Genomic DNA, 20,347 nt, shown 5'->3' with positions numbered 1-20,347 from the left:
CTCTCCAGCCTTTGGAGGGAGGAGCCCTTTTCTGCTGTCCAACTGCATGCCTGCAGCAAGAAGACAAGAGTCCCCAGTGCACTGTGAGCTGAAGAAAGTAACCAATATTTATTGGGTACCTCCTATGGGCCATGCCCTTTGCTAAGTGCATTGTCAACATGATCTCATCAAGCCTCCTACTAAGTTTAGGAGGGGAGTGTTGTTACCCCATTTCACAGAAGCAGAAACTCAGGCTCAGAGAAGTTGGGTGACTTACTAGTCAGTGTGTGGAGCAGAGACTCTGCCCATGTTCTTTCCCTCAAACCTGGTCACTGCTGGGGCCCCCAGGGCCTAGTCCTAAGGGTTATTGTCCAAGCCCCATGTAGTGGTCAGGCTGGATCTGGGCTCTCCTCCAAGGCAGGGCTTTTCCAGAAGGATTGCAGGGCTCAGACACTGGAGCTGCCCCTGCCTTGACCTGCTCAGCATGGATGTCAAAACCCACTCTGAACCTGGTCCCTTTGCCCTGCTTTCTTCTCCTCCCCCACCCTCATGCCCTCATGTGGCATCGTGCCTGCCTCAGGAGCTCTCCTTGTCCTATGTAGATGAAGCAGGCATGATTGGCAGGGGTCTGCTCTGCCCTGCCTCAGTCCCCACCTCTTCTCCAAGCTGTGCCAACCCTCCGGGTCTGACTGCTGCCCCTCTCTCTTAGGAAACCTCTGCCCCAGCCCAGGGAACACAAGGAGCCTCTCCAAGGCAGAGGACCCTAAGCACTTCTTTTTTTTATTATTTTTTATTTTATTTTAGGTTCTGAGATACATGTGCAGAGTGTGCAGGTTTGTTACATAGCTATACATGTGCCATGGTGCTTTGCTGCACCTATCAACCTGTCATCTTTTTAAGCCCCACATGTATTAGGTATTTGTCCTAATGCTCTCCCTCCTCTTGCCTCCCACCCCCCGACAGGCTCGGTATGTGATGTTCCCCTCCCTGTGTCCACGTGTTCTCATTGTTCAACTCCCACTTATAGTGAGCACATGTGGTGGTTGGTTTTCTGTTCCTGCCTAAGCACTTATTATAGGCCAGGCACTGTGCAGGCACCTCATCATCTCAGTCAGTCTGCACCGAACTCTGTGCAGTAGATATTATTATATCCTCATTTATCAGATTAGGAAACTGAGGTGAAGCAAGTTGTCCAAGGCCACCCAGCTGTTAAATGGCAGAAGTGGGATTTGCACCTAGGTGCTCAAGTGCATTGGTTTGCCACCATGTGCTCAAAGAGAAGGGGCACAAGAGCCTCATGAAGAAGGCATAGCTAGCCTGACAGTCCAAAGGCCAGCAGCCGCTGTGGCCATGACTCACACACACCTGCCTCCTCCCAGAACTGCCACGTGGGTCCTCACAGCTCTGTCCTTATCAACACTTACTCTCCTTTACAGGTAGCCTAGGCCCCAGCTCCCAGCTCTGTTCGAGGCTCGCAGAGGGGCGGTAGTGAAGGGGTCTCATTTCTCCAGGATCCTCTTTGCTCTCTCGCCCGGTCCTGGTCCAGCTTCCCTTTCAAGCATAGTGAAGTGCATTTGTTAGCTTGCAGCCAACCCTGGGAAATCATGAGAATTTGTTCCCAAGTCAACTCATTCTCCAGCGTCCACAGTGACGTATTCACTCACCCAGTTGAGCGCCTAGTGTATACTAGACCCTGTGACAGCAACAGGAGTGCAAAGGTGACTAAGACGTGGCCCCTGCTTTTTTTTTTTTTTTTTTTTTTTGAGACGGAGTCTCGCCCTGTTGCCCAGGCTGGAGTGCAGTGGTGCGATCTCAGCTCCTCACAAGCTCTGCCTCCTAGGTTCAAGCGATTCTCCTGCTTCAGCCTCCCAAGTAGCTGGGACTACAGGTGTACACCACCATGCCGGCTAATTTTTTGTATTTTTAGTAGAGACGGGGTTTCACTATGTTGGCCAGGGTAATCTCGAACTCCTGACCTCATGATCCGCCCGCCTCAGCCTCCCAAAGTGCTGGGATTACAGGCATGAGCCACCACCCCTGGCCGGCCCCGCTTTTAAGAGAGGGGAGAGAAGACCTGGGCCTTAGAAGAGCTCAGAGGAACCACAATTGACTCTGCAGTCAAGGAGAGGAGGCTCACTGCGGATGTGGTATTTGAGCCTTGAAGGATGAGTGTGGTTTCATCAAGTAGAAAAGGCAGGGATGGGAAAGGGAGGTGGTCCAGGCAGGGGTGATGGTGTGGGCAAAGCCTTGCTGATATTAAAGAACATAGTTCTGTGCACCTGGAACACTGGATGCATGGGGTGCATTATGAAAGATGGGACTGAAGAAGTGAACTTGGCTTAGATCCCATGTAGTAGGTCTGAGAAGTAAGATTTAACCCAAAGGTTGCAAAAGAACCATGCTTGTGATAAAGGATGATGGATTGGGGAAACAGAGAAAAAGACAGACAGACTGTAGGAAGGGAGGTATTAGCAAATAATCATAACACAGTGTGAGGTGTGCATTAATATTCACTCATTCCAAGTATTGATCAAGAAGAGAGGTAGGTACTGGGTTAGGAAACAGCTTGGGCAAATGCATGGGGAAATGAGAGATGTCAAGATGCATTCTAATGGCAGCCTCTTGAAGATCTTAAGTTGTTTTTGGTTCACTCATTTCGCAAATGAATTCATTTAGCAAAAGCACTATGGATACAGTGCTTACCTCTAGGAAGTAAGTTTTAGCCCAAATGCTGCAGAAGGATCATGCTTATGACAAAGGATGATGGACTGGGGAGAGAGAAAAAGAAAAGACAGACAGACTCCAGGAAGGAAGGTCAGTCTGCAGCTCCTTATAGTGGCTAGGAGAAGGAGTCTAGGCAGATACGACTCAATTAGCTTCATCTGCTGTTTGTCTCTCAAAATCTAGACATGTGCACTGCTCTGGCTGGCCCACCTATCCTGGGCATTGAGTTAAGTGTGGGGGCTGTGTGTTGAGAGTCCCCCTCCATTACTGGCAGGAACTCCACACCTCAGACATTGAGCCCCAGGTCTGCAGGGAGAAGACGTGCTTGCAAAGTGAGCTAAAAGCAAAACAGCCTCTGACCTGGCAAGCATTCCCAAGTCTGCACGCCTGCAGCCAGAGGAGAGGGTGATGCCAGGCTGCTGCTCAGATGCTTTTCAGCCATACCCAGGCCAAGACCTGGTGACCAGGCAGCCAGAAGGAGTTCCAGGAGGCACAAGGCAGGAAGTTGGGGGATTAGGAGGTGTAGAATGGAGAATGCTCTGGGGAGATGGGTGCTTTGTTGGTGCAACTATTCGTTTATTCCTCCAGTGACCACGTGAGCAGTATGGCTGCACACACAGGCTCTGCAGCCAAGCTGCCTGGGTTCACATTTGGTCTCTGTGCTTTGGAAAATTTCATAAGCTTTCTCTACCAGTTTCCCTTATTACCCATGAGATTGATGTGAGGATTAACCTAGCATGTAGTAAATATCCTATAAATATTATTATTCAATAGTGTACTTCTTTGCCAGGAACAAAATTCACCTGTTCCTCTTTAAATGTCCTCCAGTCTGTCTCCTGGGAAAGATTCTTGTGAGCTCCCTGGGGACAGGGACCATATTTTGTTTGTCTCACTGTATCCGTAGTGCTTTTTGCTAAACGAATTCACTTGCTAAATGAATGAACCAGGAACAACTTAAGACCTTCAAGAGGCTGCCATTATAATGCATCTTGACATCTCTCTCCTTTCCACATGCCTTTGTCCGAGCTGTTTCCTAACCCAGTATTTCACTACCCCTCTTCTCCATCAATATTTGGAATGAGCAAATACCGTTAGTGCATACCTCACATGGTATTATAATTATTTGCTAATGCGTCTGTCTCCTCCATGACTCTGAGCTCCTTGAGGGATTATTCCATGTTGTACCCCAGGTGCCCCATGCAGATGTGTATTTTGTGCACTGTTCTGTGTAGGCTACAAAGGAAAAGGCCTAGCACCTGCCCTTGGGGAGCTCACCCACCCAGGATGGACAGAGGTGTGCAGACAGAGCTGCAGGGTGGGCACAAAGGGTCCATCTGCTGAAGTCCTGCAGATGCAGCCCCGAGCTTGTCCCTCACGTCAGCAGCCTGGCTCCTGGTCTCAGAGAGAACTGTGTGGTTCCCAAGCATTCACTTTAGGAAGAATCACTTGCCCCTCCCTGGCTCTCTGCTTCAAGGAACTGTGACAACCTTGGGATTTGCAAACTCTCTCTTTAATCCTTAAGAGGAAAATGTTTTGGTAAAAAGTCAAGATTAGCAGATACACTCGGGTGAAATTCTTTCCCTGGAAATAAAGAATAGAGCCATTAATATCCACAGTAGAGTGACTTTAAATGCCCCCGGGGGGTCAGCAGGAACCAGGGCCCTGAGGAAAGGATCAGCGTGGGGAAGAGGCTCCCACTTCCCTGTGAGGAGCTGCACATGCAGTCTCACTGGAGCTCCCTGCTGCAATGCTGTTGCCTGTGGTGGTTGGTGTGGATGCTGCCTGCCAAGAGCCCTGATTCCCCAGGAAGAGAGAAAAAGGCTTCTCTCAGGACGGCCCTGGTCGCATCTGCCTGTACAATTCCTGGAGCCTTTGGGGAGCTGAAGTCAGGGGCTCAAGTGCCCCTGGGTTTCCTGGAGGAGGCAGGTGTGGTGAGACAGCTGACAGACAGGAGAAGGGATGCTCTGAGGAAGTGACTGTCCAGCCATGGGAACCAGATGGCCCCTGGCTGTAGTCCTGATGCTGCCACTTGCTAGCTCTGTGACCTTGAGCAGGTTACTTCACCTCTCTGAGACAGACTCACTGTCTGGACAATGAGTAAAACCCTACCTTTCCTGTCTCAGAGATTTGGCAATGGGACCCAATGACATCAATTGGAAAGGATGCTGTGGGTGAAAGGTAACCTTTCAGGACAGCGACAAGCCTGTCTGGGCAGGATGAATGGGCTGTGGAGCCCTGTATATCCTAGCTCACTCTTTGAACCTCAGTTTCCACTTCTTCCCTTTTTATTTATTGCCGGGGTCTTAAATGAGTGTTGGGGGTATCTGATTCTCCCTCTGCCTGTACTTTTGGGGCCAAGCACTGAGCTGAAAAGACAATTCCTCCTAGTTCTCCAAGCCTACAACCTGCCCCCTAACCAGCTGTGAGCTGTAATACATTCTCCAGTGTCACTGTGAGGTTTGTGCCTTCACCCCCATTTTATAGATCAGGAAACAGAGGCTCCTCCAAGTAAAGGAGCTTGCCTCAGATTTCACAGCCAATGAGTGGAAAAGCCTCTGGGATTCAAATGTCAGAGCCCATATTTTTCCTACTTCTCGCACCTGTTATCATATGCTGCCTCTTCCTTTAACCTGCAGTTCCCTCCCTTCACCTCCACCGTCTCAATCCTTCCCACTCTTTAAGGTTCAGTTCAGCTATGACTTCTTCTATGAGGCTCTACTCATTTTCTCAGATTTCTTCCTCCTCCAAATTTCTTGTAAAAATTATGTTTTTTCTCTGATTCTAAAAGAATGCACATTACATTAGAAAAGATACACAAGCATACAGAAGATAAAAACCACCTAATATCCCATCACCCAGAAGCTTCCAGTTTTTCTTTATGCATTTGCATATGCATTTGTGTTTACTTTTCCCCAAAAGTTCTCCGATACTTTGTCCTACTTTTCTTTTGACCCTTATAACTTCCTGACTTCGGTACCTTTCTGATTTGCCCTACCAGAGTGTGAGCCCCTGGAAGGCAGCCTCTGCACCCTGATTCAGGTTGCCACACATATGCCAGCTCCTAGTGGGCTGGAGGGAAGGACATGCGGTTGGGGAACTGGAAGACTCATGCTTTCAGCTGTGTGCTTCCTCCCTAGAGTGCAGGCAGAGGAGGAATCGAATCCCCTCAGCACTCTTGTAAAGACCACAGCAATGAGTGAGAGATGGTGCCTGCCAGACATACCATTCTTTACTTTTCAGCTTAAAACAGATACAAAGTTTGGGGAGGCTCACTGGAGGAGGCTTGGGGCTACACTGGAAAGAGAAGAACTTGGATTCACACCCCAGCTTCCCCTCTTCCCAGCTCTGTCACATTTGCAAACTCTGAGTCTCAGTATCCTCATGTGTAAAATGGGGATAGGGTTTATAGGGTTGTAAGGATGAGATGATGAGTTGTTTGCAAACAACTTCTCACAGTGCACAGTGAAGGTCAGCAATGAGAGCCAGCCCCGCCCTTTCTTCTTTCCAAATGATTAATATATCTGTTACCAGCCTCCATTCATTATATAGCTCTGTCATGTGCTAAGCACCATGGGGGCTGAAAAAGATGTTCTTCCTGCCTTAAAATTCCACTGGGGATGAACAAATTACACGGGAGCTGATCAGAGAGGAAGGCAGTCCATTATGAGGGCTAATTGAGCAGTGCAGACCATGTTGCAAACTGAGTTAGGGCCTGGAGAGCTTACTGTGTGCTGGGGTCCTCAGGAATGCCACAGATGCATCAATAACCACCTCTGCTACTCTGGAAGTAGTCACATCAGGAAGACTCCAGAGATAAGCTTATCTGGGCTGTGGCCACAGAGCTGGAATTTGTAAGCTTTAGGTTTCTATGTCTCATGTTACCAGCTTGTCTATAAATTGTAAATTACAGCCATCTGATGGTTAGGGAATATGAAGTTTGGTTAAGAGAATGAAATGAGACCACGAAGATTAGAGAACAGGAAAAGAGGGGACTGGGGACTACATACCCATCAGAATCTTCATTCAGTCCTGACCCTCAGCAGGAGGGGGATTTCATCAGGCTCATTTCCATCCTTGATTTCGTCCATCCTGGTTCTCCTGACAAGGGGCATTTATCAGAGTTATGGCATGGGAAATCACAGGGGAGTAATGTACCATGGCATTTAAGAGTATGAACGTTGGAGTCGGAGCTATTTTCTCCGCTACTTACTAGCTGTGTGACTTTGGGCAAGTTACTTAGCCTTTCTCTGAGCCTCACTTTCTTTATCTGTAAAGTGAGGGCGATCAGAATAAACCTCCTTCATATGGTTATTTTGAGCTTTATAAAGAGACAATACTGGCTGAGCACGGTGGCTCACTGCCAGTAATCCCAGCACTTTAGGAGGCCAAAGCTGGAGGATCGCTTGAGCCCAGGAGTTGGAGACCAGCCTGGGCAACATAGGGAATGAGACTCCTGTCTCTACAAAAAATATACAAAAATTAGTCAGGCATGGTGGTACGTGCCTGTAATCCCATCTACTCAGGAGGCTAAGGCAGGAGGATCGCTTGAGCCCAGGAGGTGGAGGTTGCAGTGAGCCAAGATCACGCCATTGTACTCCAGCCTGGGCAACAGGAGTGAAACCCTGTCTGAGAGAGAGAGAGAGAGAGAAAATACTACTATGGTGCTTATAAAAGTTCAATAAATTTTAGCTGTTGTTAGTATTATTAAAGTAAGATCTGTATGAAAATAAAGCAGATTTTTTCCCCCAAATGTTCATGTCAGAAGTATATATTTCATTGGCAAGGGGCTGCTTCTGGAAGGTTGAGAGGTATCCTGGGGGAGGGGATAGAGCACTGGCAAAATTGGCATCACAATTCAAGTCACCTCACTCAGTGTTTTTTAAGTTATCAAAATCCACAGTATGAAAAGCATTTGACATTACAGTCCACTATATTTATGCATTTATAAACAAGAGAAAAAATCACGAAAAATACAGTACCACGTGCAGTACACACTGATTCCATCTATTCTTTTTTTTTCTTTTTCCTCAAATGCACTTGCCGCCTACTTATTCCAGACCCAATGATTGGGTCCCTATCCACAGTTTGGAAAACACTATAAGAAATGATTGTGTCCTCTCACTTTCCCTCTCTGGGATTTAGTTTTCCAACTATAAAATGCTCCTGATGCCCAGCCAGCCTCACCGCTGCTCCGAGTCAATGCCAGGAACGCTGATTTAGCACATGCTATTTGGAGGGTACCCATCCAGGTGCTGTGGGAGGGACAGAGATTGAGAAGAGTGCTTTCTGACCCCACAGAGGCCATTTGGAAACCCTGGGAATGGGTGGGAGGGTTGGAGGTGGGGATTGCTTCTCCCCTAAGACTCAGCGTGATGGAAAGGCAATGGGGTGGGAACTAACTGGTGTTGGTCTGTCCCATTTGTGTCCCAGCAGCCTTCCTGACAGCGAGATAGGAGAGGACCCCAGGTACAGCCTTGGGACTGGGTCAGAAGTGGGTCTCAACAAAGGGAAGGGGTAGGGTGGGGGTGGAGGACTTGTGGGTGGGTAATGCTGAGTATGGATTCAGGGATGTGCAGCCTACATATTTTCAGAGACATGGGGCTAAGGCCTGCATTCTCAATGAGGGCAAAATTTGGTTCTTGGGGACAGAAAACACTTAGACATTGCAATGCTTTGTGGCTGTCCAAAGTACCAAACAGATGCCAGTATATCTGTGGTGCTGAAATTTCATGGTGAATGGAGTCAGAAAATAGACTAGCGATTGCCAGGGTCTGGTGGGAGAGAGAGGGAAGGGACTGCCAATGTGTATGGGATTTGTTTTGGGGAAGATAAAAATGTTTTGGAATTAGATAGTGGAGATAGTTGCACAACCTGGTGAACGTACTTTTAGTTTCAGAGGTTTTCTAAACCTCTGATTTTTTTTTAAGTGACAGGAAAGACAGAAAAAAGTATATCTAAAAAGGCTCTAGGGGTGATCATGGAAAAGAAAGTTAAGAAATATGACTGTAAGGAAAGGAGATGGGTGTCCCTCAGGCCAGGCAGAAAATTCAGTCTTGTTGCTTTATGTTCATGTGCAAATCTAAAAAATCCAAGTGATATAGATTAATGAGGCTCTGAGTCCCTCAAAACCTTCCCTCCCCTTACCTCTCCAAAAAACACTTGAGATACCCTAGAGGTGGTATGAAGTCAGGATGGGAAGGTTGGCTCAGCTTTGCAAATAAGTTTAAGCCTCTGGCCTTTGCTCTCCAACACCAAAGAGGCTTCACTTTGGTATATTTTCTCTGCCCTTTCTCCCTCCTTGTCCCCAACTGTCAGTATGTGATGACAGGCTCAGCCTCTGTAATGGTAGTGATCATATTTCTTGAGCCAAAAATCAGACCTCATGGCATGTGACAAGTTTGCATATGTGGATGAGAACAGAGTGGCAGAATATTTGACACGGGAGCAGCTTGGGCAGTCCAGGGCACATGGCACTGCACCTGACATCCCTGGCAGATCCCCCACATTCCGTGGTTGTCTTCTGATGGGGCCATATGGGGCTGCAGATCATGCCTGGAGCCCTCGCAGCTCCAGGGCTGCGGGTTCCCAGCCCCAGAGTGCAGGTGCTGGTGTCAGCCTGCCTGGCCTGGCCTGGCTCTGTCCAGAGCACTCCTTGCCCCAGCTGTTTGTGCAGCTGTATCAGCCTCAGACCTCAGCCTATTCATTCCAACCTGAATGCAGAGGCTGGGTCTGGAGGAGCCACATTGCGGGCTTCATACTCCTGATCTGACAAGTTTTCCCCCCAGAGCCTGCACCAATGGCACCTCTCCCCATTCTCCCTCTTAACTGGGTCCTCCAGGGCCCTCCTCACACACCCACGTGGTCAGGCAGCAGAGGCTTCCCCAAGATGGGCACACCCCACTCTCCACACCTCTCTATGCAGCATTTGTGGCTACAGACTGGGTCCAGGGGATTGTAAAGGCATGCTCATGTTGGGTTGGAGGGAGCTCAGGATCTTCCTGGAGGATATGGTTCACTCCCATGAGAGCTCAGTATGCCTTTCCTCCCCTGCTGCAGCCCAGAGCGGGAGACAGCGACCGACTTGGATATCAGGTACTGCGTCCTGGGAACATTGCCCCCCAGGGTCAACTCCCTCCAGGGTGCTCTCAGGCCCAAGGGAGCCACATCACCCTGCTGGGCAGCCCCCAGACCCCAGCCCCAGTGTTGGGGGAGGCCAGGGAGGGCCCCTGTGCTCCACCAGGTGGCTCGGGAGCTGCTGCTGTTTCTGTGCATCCATTTACTCCCTTCACATAAGATCATTTTTATCTGGGATCTCTTTTTCTTTTTTCTTCAAAAACCACATCACTCAAAATGTGGCTTCCTTGGCTCTGCTTTTAAAAAAAAAAAAAAAAGTTCTTCCATTTGGAGAATTACCTGCTGACTTCAAAGTCCAGTGGCTTGAGGGCTACCCAAAGAGGGAGGAAGCCAGAAGTTGAGTGTTCCCTTGGTTTGGTCACACTTTTGGGCTCCTCCCTGACTAAGGAACAACAGACTGCAGGGCTGGGGCAGGCTGGGTGTAGGGCAGGGAGGGGATGAGGTCCTGCTGCCCCAGTCAGTTGAGACCCAGACCTCTCAAACCTGCCTGGGGGAAGGCAAGGCCACCAGAGGCCACACTAAGCAGATTTCTACCAACTGCACCTCCCCATCCCCTTGCCTCCATCTGAGCCATCAGCTTGACAACTGCCTCTGAGAACAAGCCCCTGAGAATGCCTTCCGCACCCCCTACTCCCGCCCTGCTTTTTCCAGGAAGAGAGGCCCCGTGGCCTATGCTTCGCAGAAACCATGGCTGCTAAATGCCACTGTGGAGGAGAACATCATCTTTGAGAGTCCCTTCAACAAACAACGGTAAAAGCCTGTCGGAGGGAGGCAGGATGTGGAGGGGAGGAACTGTCTCTGGCCAGCCTGCCCCAGTTCCGGGCCCCTCCATCGATCACCCACACCCAGCCATCTCACTCCCCAGGTGCTTACCTGCACTCCAGCCTCTCCATATGGTGCACCTGGAGAGGGGCCAGGTGTGCCTGAGCATTGGGGCAATCCAGCTCCCATAGGGGAGAGGGCAGGAATGGAGGGAAGGGAGAGAGCCCCGCTGCCTTTTCTCTAGCTGGTGGGAGGGCTAGCTAGCTCTCTCTGTGAGTCTCCATTCGCCTGGCTCCTGCACTATTTTCCCTCCAATGATAATAGTTAGGGCTAGCATCGACTGCGCTCTTACTACATACCAGGCACAGTGCCGAGCTCTTTGTACACGGAATTTCCTCTCATGCTTACAACAACCTCAGTAGGTAGATATTATTGTTATTCCCACTCTACAGATGAAGAACCAAGTTTCAGAAAGGTCCCAAGGCCACCCAGCCAGTAAGTGACCAAGATGGGTCTCAAATCCAAAGCTGCCTAACACCTAAGTACATGTTTGTCACCAACATACTCTGATGCCTCCATGAACTCTGGCTGGCACCTGCCCAGGCTAAGGGCTGGCTGGGGAAGTATGAGAGGAACAGGCTGGGCAAATATTTGACCAGCCATCATCATTACTGCCTAAACCAACCAGCAGTGGTTTTCCCTGCAGTGCCCCAAGCACGGGTTCCGGCTGCAGCTTTTCCCACTGCACAGAGATCATGAGCGCCCTTTCATCACTTACTCTGCATATTTGTTCCCAACCAATTCCATCCTTCTAGTATTTAACCTGCCCAAACGCTGTGTGAAGTGCTGACCTCAGCTCTTTTCAAGCTCACACGGTGTTTGCTTGCACCCAAGCGGGAGGCCTATTAAAGCCATTGCTCACCCTGGGCATAGCTACCCAGAGACTAATGACCCTCTGCAAGTGCTCGGGCCAACTCTGACCAGGCTGACCAGCTGCATCCCCTGCCTCTACCCACGCCAGGTACAAGATGGTCATTGAAGCCTGCTCTCTGCAGCCAGACATCGACATCCTGCCCCATGGAGACCAGACCCAGATTGGGGAACGGGTTAGTAGCAGCCTCTGAGGGGTTTTTTCAAAGCCAGGACCCCCAACCTACCATGCCCTGAGACACTACTCAGGACAATGGGTAACTAGGAAATAGGAGACATTGAAGGCTGAAGAGTTGCCTGCAGTAAGGTCAAACATGTTGTTCTTGATGATGTCCTTTGACAGGTTTTCAGTCCTGCTTGGAGGGCAAGGTCAGCTTAGTGCCCTCCCAGGCTGGGGATCTTCTTCATTTGCACCCCAGGTATACACTGAGAGCCCACACAGCACTGTGCTCAGCCTGGGGTTGTATTGTTCCTGTTCATCCTCCAGATGGGGTCCCCTCCACAAGCTTAGACGAACAGGATTCTCCTGTGACTGTCCTCCTTTTGTGTGATTTTAATCCCTGCTGCCTCTGTCTTTGTTTGTACTGGTCAGATGGTCCCTAGCGCCTACACAATGAATCTTTAAAGACTTGGGGCTCATGCTGCCCTCTTCTGAATGAATTCAGTAAACACGTGCAAGTTCCTTCTCTATGCAAGGTGAGAAGCAGGCAAAGAAGTGGATAGAGCCAGGCCTCCATCCCAAAGAGCTCATAGTCCAGTAGGGTACAGGACAGTGTCTCCTGAATGGCTGAGGGCATGATGTGTTCCTCCTCTTTGGTGACAGGGCATCAACCTGTCTGGTGGTCAACGCCAGCGAATCAGTGTGGCCCGAGCCCTCTACCAGCACGCCAACGTTGTCTTCTTGGTGAGTGCAAGTTCCCTTGGGGTCCTGGTCTCTGGCTGCCTCCCAGGCCTAACTGCCCACCTCCACCTCCCCGCAACCCCACCATCATCCAACAATCTCCCTCTCCAGGAGTAAATCCCTCCTGCCAGAGATATTGCCTTATCATCCTAGTGATAGGGAAACTGAGGCAGGCAAGGATAGCACAAATGACCCATTGCAGACTTCAGATGGAGCTCTGCAGTAGCCAATGAGGAGAGGCAAGCTGTAGTTATAGGCTGCCTGTCTGTGGGACAGCCCAACCCCTCAACACTTATGCAGCCCGACTATAAGAATGGCTGATAACAGAATGTGTGCTGCCACTTCCCATCTTATGCCCAGTGCAGACATTGCTAATTGTTCACAGCATTATTTCCCATGGAACTTAACTCATCCTCAGAATCCTTCTCAACACAGCACTCCAGGTAACCACTAGCCATCAAACATGAGATAAAACTAGGCCAGGCGCGGTGGCTCACGCCTGTTATTCCAGCACTTTGGGAGGCCGAGGCAGGCGGATCACGAGGTCGGGAGATCGAGACCATCCTGGCCAACACGGTGAAACCCCGTCTCTACTAAAAATACAAAAAATTAGCTGGGTGCGGTGGCGGGCGCCTGTAGTCCCAGCTACTCCGGAGGCTGAGGCAGGAGAATGGCGTGAACCCGGGAGGCGGAGCTTGCAGCGAGCCGAGATCGCACCACTGCACTCCAGCCTGGGGACAAACCGAGACTTTGTCTCAAAAAAAAAAAAAAAAAAAAGAACGTATTCGCAATCCTTACACTACTTCATGTCAAGTTCTGTTGTGTCAGGTGCCTTGACTGACACTGAAGAATTCTAAGAACCAGTCCTTGGCCTCAAAGATTTAGAATCTGATTAGGGAGACAGAGCTCACCCAGTTCAAGAGGCCCAGCCCGGTTCAAATCCAAACTGTGCGGCATAAACTATGAGGGGGCCTTGTCCAGGGAGACAACTGTGAGGGCTGGAGTAATCAGGGAGGGCTTCCTGGAGGAGAGCCTCAAAGGGAGAGTCAATTAAACAGAAGGAAAGAGGGAGGCCATTTGCACAGTGAGTTGGAAGAAGGAAGCTCAAGTCTCTGATTCCAGCTTTATTCCCTCCCCTCTCCCTACACCACACGCACAAGCACTCCTTTACTAAAGACACTTCACAGTGGGAAGATTCAGTCTCCGTTACCGTCTGACACACACACAGCGTTTTACAAAGCATGGGTGCATTCGCGATCTCTCATGAGATTTAAACAACCCTGCTAGAGAAAAGTGAAGTGGACATTTTATTTCAGTAAACGTTTATGAAGCGTCTACTCTGTGCCAGGCACTAAACGTTTATGAAGCGTCTACTCTGTGCCAGGCACAGGCACAAGAAGTCTCAGTTCTTGGGAGTGCCATAATCAGGAATGGACAAACAATGATCAGATCTGGCTTTGCGCCAGTGTCACGGGAATAGGGAGGAAGGAAGGGTAGGCGTGGGGGTCAGGACAGGATGCAGGAGGAACTGGTGCTTAGGTGAGCGAAGGATGGGTGGGAGTTCACAAGGCAGACAAAAGGCAGAGCAGCACTCCAGGCAGAGGAACAGCTCAGGAGAAGGCCCAGACGGCAGGCTTCCTGGGAACCTGGAATGCAGAGTGCTGGGAAAGCACAGATGAAGCATGAGTCTAGAAGGGAAAGCGAGAGGTTATAAAGCACCTGGAACACCAGCCCACAGGGTTTGACTTTAGAGATGATGGGGAGCCGTTGAAGGTCCAGGAGTCAGGCAGTGAAGTGATTAGATCTGTTTGAGAGTGATATCTGACAACTGCCCCATTTTAAATGAGGTAACCAAGGCCCAGAGAGGTTGGGTGAGTTGTCCAAAGCCACACAGCTAACTAGCTTCAGTCCCTAGAGCAGAGTTGATAGAACTCTAATGGGTTTTATACTCATTGTCACCCCTCCCCACCATGCCTTTCCCTACCCTCTACTCTCTTCCTCTCCCTTCTGCCCAGGATGACCCCTTCTCAGCTCTGGATATCCATCTGAGTGACCACTTAATGCAGGCCGGCATCCTTGAGCTGCTCCGGGACGACAAGAGGACAGTGGTCTTAGTGACCCACAAGCTACAGTACCTGCCCCATGCAGACTGGGTGAGGGGGAACAAGGGGGTCAGGCTATAGGGGGCAGGGCTGGGGAGGCTGTCAGGCATCTTGGCAGGAACCAATCCGTTGTCTTGGTAGCAACTGCTGAGGGCCACAAAGCATAAGAGACCAGCACTGGATGGCTTTATGCATGCTGGGCATTTCAGGGAGACCCTGTACAGGCCAGGGGTTTGGTATCACCTAGACCCACAGACACTCCCCATCCTGGCCCGGGCCCCCCATGGTACACTCAAGGCTGGCACCAAGAAGTCTCAGGAATAATCAAGTGCTCACTTCTCACCTTCTGATTCCTGCCCTTTTGATGACCCATCCCCGCAGTCATGGGGAGTGCCCATTTGGATGGAAAAGCCCTCTTCCCACCCTATGACCTTCCCGGGGTGGATGGATGCACCACCCCGGGAATCATATGGGAAATATGGAACCAAACAATAGCAGTAGTAATAGAAACTTCAGGCTGGGCGCAGGGGCTCACACCTGTAATCCCAGCACTTTGGGAGGCCAGGACAAGAGGATCACTTGAGCCCAGAAGTTTAAGGCTGCTGTGAACCATGATCATGCCACTGCACTCCACTACAGCCTGGGCGACAGAGCCTTGTCTCTGAAAATTTGAAAAAGGAAAGAAAGAAAGAAAGAAACTTCAATATTATCAGTAGAGTCCAATGTTGTGAAACCCCTCATTAACTAAATTTCCATACTCTTCAGTAGGTAGAAAATAATTACTTTTTGATTCATTAGAAAGCACTTAATTTTTAAGATGGAGATCATGTAATTTTGAACTCTAGGTCTTGCCTACTCCTATATAAATTCTCCTCTAAACAACAGCCAAAATTGAGGCCCTCTTTGAGCTTCAGGCTGGTGCCAAATGGCTCTGCTTATTTTCCCCAAAATAAATCTTCCTTCCATGTATGATGAGACCCCCTCCAGTATAAAGAAGACCCAAAGAAAATCACCCAAAGAAAAAAGGCCCAAAGATAAGACCCAAAGACCTAAAGATTTAAATATATATACAGATACAGAAGGTTTGTTTCTGAGTTTCTGTAGTGACCTTGGCAATACCTTGTAGTTCAGGACAATCCTGAGGAACACAGAAGTGCTGGCTTCCTTGAGGAATCAGTGATCAGGACTCTCGAGCCCCTTGAACCCCAGCATAGGGCGGGAGGGGGTGAGGGCAGCAGGGGTGGGTGTCTGAATTAATGTCAGGTCTACGTGATGGTGTCATCAAGTGTTCCAGATAAAAAGTTTTATTGAGCCGGGCGCGGTGGCTAATGCCTGTAATCCCAGCACCTTGGGAGGCCAAGGCGGGTGGATTGCTTGAGCCCAGGAGTTCGAGACCAGCTTGGGGCAACATGGTGAAACCCTATCTCTATAAAAAAAAAAAAAAAAATTAGCCAGGTATGGTGGCGTGCACCTGTGGTCCCAGCTACTCAGGAGGCTGAGGCAGGAGGATGGCTTGAGCCAGGAAGCAGAGATTGCAGTGAGCTGAGATGGTGCCATTGCACCCCAGCCTAGGCAACAGAGTGAGACCCTGTCTCAAAAAAAAAAAAAAAAAAAGATTTATTGATTCCAAAGAGGCATGGCCACACACACTTAGACCAGCAGGTGCTTTGCTAAGCCCTGATGGAGGCTGCCAGACCCGCCGTCAAGAGGAGCTAAGGGTAGTGTACAATGAGCCCACTTAGTGTATGACGGCCGCTGCCGTGGGTGGAGTCCTTGTGAGTAACCAGCCAGCTTGAGCAGGATGCACTAATTTGCTCTGCAAACCCAGCCATTGAGAAATACGCCTCAGATGTACCGAACTCTAGGTCCTAGGAGTATGTTGGTTGGGGTAGGTTATCAATACCAGCCCACTTGCAGTGGATGAGCTGGTGGCCATTTGTAGTGAGGAAAGGGATGTGTCAACCTCCATCTTAGACTCCACAATTGAGGGATGTGACCACCATTCCTCCCCAGCCAGCCCCCAAACCACGTTTGTTGCTGCCTTTCCAGATCATTGCCATGAAGGATGGCACCATCCAGAGGGAGGGTACCCTCAAGGACTTCCAGAGGTCTGAATGCCAGCTCTTTGAGCACTGGAAGACCCTCATGAACCGACAGGACCAAGAGCTGGAGAAGGTGGGTATATCCAGGGATGGCCAAGCAGCCACCCCTGGATGCAAAGGTTCTGCTAGAACCTGAACTCATAAAGGTCTTCCTGTCCTTAGTGCCCCAGGAAGCCCCCTAAAGGGCAGATGTGGGAGCTGGGCATGAACTGGCTCCTACCAGAGGAGAGACAGTACCTGTGCCAGGTGCCCAGGGCAGAATCAGGTGGGCACCTTCGCCTTATCCTGAGGTAGTCAGATACTATTTAGTTGCAAAGTTTCAGAAAATCAACTCAAACTGGCAAAGAAAACTAAGCAAAGAAAACAAGAGGGAATTAAGGATTTATTGACCCATGAAACCAAAAAGTCCAGGTGTGTCATAGCTTTAAGTGTGCTGGATCCAGGTAGTCAGTGTAATCAGAAATCTGTTTCTCCCATCTCTTGACTCTGCTCCCCTCAAATTGGCTCAGCTCCCCTCAAATTGGCTCCATTCTCATGGTATCAGTGAGGGCCACCAGCAGTCTTAGGTTTACATTCTCCCAGCTCAACAACTCTGCCAGAAAAAAAGTGCCTCTTTCCCCATAGTTCAGCAAAAGTCCCAGGGCTGAGTCTCACTGGTCCAGTTTGGTCATGTGCCCACCCCTGAACAAATCACTGTGGCCAGCGGTGTGGAATGTGAGGATTGGCCTGTCCTGGGTCACGTGCCACTTTGGGAGCCAGATCCACCTGAATCACAGAGACTAAAAACAGGGGAAGAGTGGTTCCCCACAGGGATATGGGGGTGCTATTATCTGATGAAGGGGAAGGACTAAATCCTGGCAAGATGAATGTGTGTCTGTCTGCCCCTCCCTCAGGCAGGGACAAAGTAGAAATCTGACATTGGTCATCACCAGAGTAGTTACCCCTTAACTTCCCCTTCCCCCACCAACCATATATCCTGAAGACATTGCCCAGGCCACATCTGTCTTTTAGGAGACTGTCACAGAGAGAAAAGCCACAGAGCCACCCCAGGGCCTATCTCGTGCCATGTCCTCGAGGGATGGCCTTCTGCAGGATGAGGAAGAGGAGGAAGGTACAGGCAATGGGACTGGGAGTGAAATTATGGCCTGAGGTCTGATCAGCCACAGAGAGGCTAAGGTTTGGGGTTCTGGGTGTGGTGCAGTAGTGTGCCTTTGATTAAATGGCTTCCCTCTGTGTGCCCCCGTTGTCCCCTCAGTAAGTGGGGATAAAATGCCCTGATTCACCCTCAGAGGGATGGAAATGTGTAGCCACAGAGTGGGTTCTTGCGGCCTGCAGAGGAGGCAGCTGAGAGCGAGGAGGATGACAACCTGTCGTCCATGCTGCACCAGCGTGCTGAGATCCCATGGCGAGCCTGCGCCAAGTACCTGTCCTCCGCCGGCATCCTGCTCCTGTCGTTGCTGGTCTTCTCACAGCTGCTCAAGCACATGGTCCTGGTGGCCATCGACTACTGGCTGGCCAAGTGGACCGACAGCGCCCTGACCCTGACCCCTGCAGCCAGGAACTGCTCCCTCAGCCAGGTGTGACTGGCGGCCCATGGCAGAGGTTGGGAGTGGGGATGGGGGAAGGGCTGAGCCCATGGGCACCCTGGAACTCCAAATCACTCTCTGCCTGTGAAGGAGTGCACCCTCGACCAGACTGTCTATGCCATGGTGTTCACGGTGCTCTGCAGCCTGGGCATTGTGCTGTGCCTCGTCACGTCTGTCACTGTGGAGTGGACAGGGCTGAAGGTGGCCAAGAGACTGCACCGCAGCCTGCTAAACCGGATCATCCTAGCCCCCATGAGGTACCCGTCTCCCCTGGCCAGGCTGGGACTGTGAGCAAGTCACTGTTCTCTGAGCCTTAGTCTTCCCATCTATAAAATGGGGATATACAACCTGTCACAAGCTTGTGGGGGTGACTCAAGGAGACAGTGTGTGTAAAAGTGCCCTCCTTGTGCAAGAAGCAGGGAGAAACTGGCATTTACTCAGCCAGATACTGTGATAGGCATTGTGTGTGGTTAGCTCATTTAATTGTTACCATGGCCCTTTAAAGTGAGCGTCTGCACATCCAAGTAAAGATTGTTTTCTCCTCCCTAAGTGGGTGTAATTTGCCCATCCCCACCCATGAGTTCAGCTCCCTGCCCTCCCCTCACTCTCTCTCCCTCAGCCAGCCTCAGGTTTTGACACTGGGGGAACAGGTAGCTGTTCTATTAATAATTTCCTGTAATGGGATGGATAAAAATCTCAAAGGCCACTTGATGTCAAAGAGGTTTAAAGTTGTCCCTGCCCAATTGGTTGGCCAACTTGGCTTAAAAACACAACAGGCAAACAGATTTTCTGGCCCCTTGTCGAGGCTAGACCTCACAATCTAACTGCACTTTTTACTTTCCAGCCTCATGAGTTTTCTGTGGCCCACAGATATGGCCTCCAAGTTTATTTACTTTTACTCTCTATTTGCCCCAGCTCTGTAGTTCTGAAACTCCCTGGTTGGGGTTGGGCTGACTCTGGGTCAGCCAGCCGGCAGGCTGTCCCCAGGGCCCTGTTCCTCTTGGCAGGTTGTCCCTCTGGAGAGGACTCTGTGTCCCAGGAGGACAGCTGCTGAGTCAGGCCGAGCCGGCAGCTGAGAAAGGCGGCAGTCGTCAGATGGGCTTGAGAAACTGAAAGGCTAACGAAAGGCCAGCGCCCCTTTGGGCAGCTGCAGGAATTCACGGGGATACAGGCCAGATGTCTACAAATTGGCAGAGGATGCCAGACCCATGAATGACTCCAGAGACACTTACATGAAATAATTAACTATCTCATTCAGTAAACAGGAAGTAAATCAATGGACAAATGAGTAACTCTTCCTCTGGCTGCCTCTTAGGTTTTTTGAGACCACGCCCCTTGGGAGCATCCTGAACAGATTTTCATCTGACTGTAACACCATCGACCAGGTACAGAGGACCGTGCCACACTATCCCCCCTTCCAGAGACACCTCGGACCCCTGGGGGCTTCTCCTGTCTGAGGCTGGGTTCCCCAGATCAGGTGATCACAGCCCTCTGGGAAGAAGCCAGTGTCCCCGATCCGATTATAATGCTGCTTCAGGGCTGGGGCCTCCCTCGTGGGAGCCTCACAGTAAGGCTGAGGGAAACCAGATCCCTTTAGCTTCCACCTGAGATCCCACTGGCTTTCTCTAGTAAAGTTCCAGCATATTCTGAACCAAGGTGGCTGATTGTATGGAGAATATTCATTTTGATTCAGCCTGTGTTCTTTATTTACCATTGTACCAGATGGTGTGAAAACAAAATCTTGATTCCTACCTCAGGGAGTTTACCTTGTAGCTGGAGAGATGAGATACGTGCCTATAATAAAGGGAGAGCAAGGCCGGGCTCAGTGGCTCACTCCTGTAACCCCAGCACTTTGGGAGGCGGAGGCAGGCGGATCACTTGAGGCCAGGTGTTCAAGACCAGCCTGATGGCCAACATGATGAAACCCCTTCTCTATTAAAAATACAAAAATTAGCCAGGTGTGGTGGCAGGTGCCTGTAATCCCAACTACTTGGGAAGCTGAGGCAGGAGAATCATTTGAACCCAAGGGGCAGAGGCTGCCGTGAACCGAGATTACGCTGCTGCACTCAAGTCTGGGCAACAGTGAGACTCAGTCTCAAAAAAATAAAGGATCAAAAAATAAAGTGA

General features: G+C 50.2%; 1 protein-coding gene across 6 annotated transcripts in view, besides 2 other annotated features; it reads left to right on the top strand.

The window, feature by feature from the left end:
• Positions 1 to 20,347, top strand: part of ABCC8 (ATP binding cassette subfamily C member 8) — an 84,348-nt gene that overhangs the window by 51,747 nt on the left and 12,254 nt on the right. For 3 of the 6 annotated variants that reach the window (NM_001351297.2, NM_001351295.2, NM_000352.6), the window contains exons 17-27: positions 8,137 to 8,169; positions 9,760 to 9,795; positions 10,489 to 10,587; positions 11,621 to 11,705; positions 12,353 to 12,433; positions 14,446 to 14,583; positions 16,582 to 16,707; positions 17,646 to 17,745; positions 17,970 to 18,211; positions 18,311 to 18,477; positions 19,536 to 19,605. In NM_001351297.2, the coding sequence (NP_001338226.1) occupies positions 8,137 to 8,169; positions 9,760 to 9,795; positions 10,489 to 10,587; positions 11,621 to 11,705; positions 12,353 to 12,433; positions 14,446 to 14,583; positions 16,582 to 16,707; positions 17,646 to 17,745; positions 17,970 to 18,211; positions 18,311 to 18,477; positions 19,536 to 19,605 (1,177 nt within the window). Of the gene's footprint in view, positions 1 to 8,133; positions 8,170 to 9,759; positions 9,796 to 10,488; positions 10,588 to 11,620; positions 11,706 to 12,352; positions 12,434 to 14,445; positions 14,584 to 16,581; positions 16,708 to 17,645; positions 17,746 to 17,889; positions 18,212 to 18,310; positions 18,478 to 19,535; positions 19,606 to 20,347 lie in introns of all 6 variants that reach the window. The other 3 variants (NM_001351296.2, NM_001287174.3, NR_147094.2) reach the window with 2 other exon arrangements.
• Positions 9,971 to 12,129: an enhancer, noted in NCBI's record as "VISTA enhancer hs1977". NCBI's record gives its function as "enhancer in: pancreas[10/14]" and the evidence as "EXISTENCE:transgenic organism evidence [ECO:0001131][PMID:17130149]".
• Positions 19,163 to 19,457: a silencer, noted in NCBI's record as "tiled region #5134; K562 Repressive DNase matched - State 8:EnhW". NCBI's record gives its function as "represses a minimal TATA promoter and a strong SV40 promoter by Sharpr-MPRA in K562 cells {active_cell/tissue: K562}" and the evidence as "EXISTENCE:reporter gene assay evidence [ECO:0000049][PMID:27701403]".

Source organism: Homo sapiens, chromosome 11 (assembly GCF_000001405.40).
Source record: "Homo sapiens chromosome 11, GRCh38.p14 Primary Assembly".
Lineage (NCBI taxonomy): Eukaryota > Metazoa > Chordata > Mammalia > Primates > Hominidae > Homo > Homo sapiens.
This window is presented reverse-complemented; position numbering and strand designations above follow the sequence as displayed.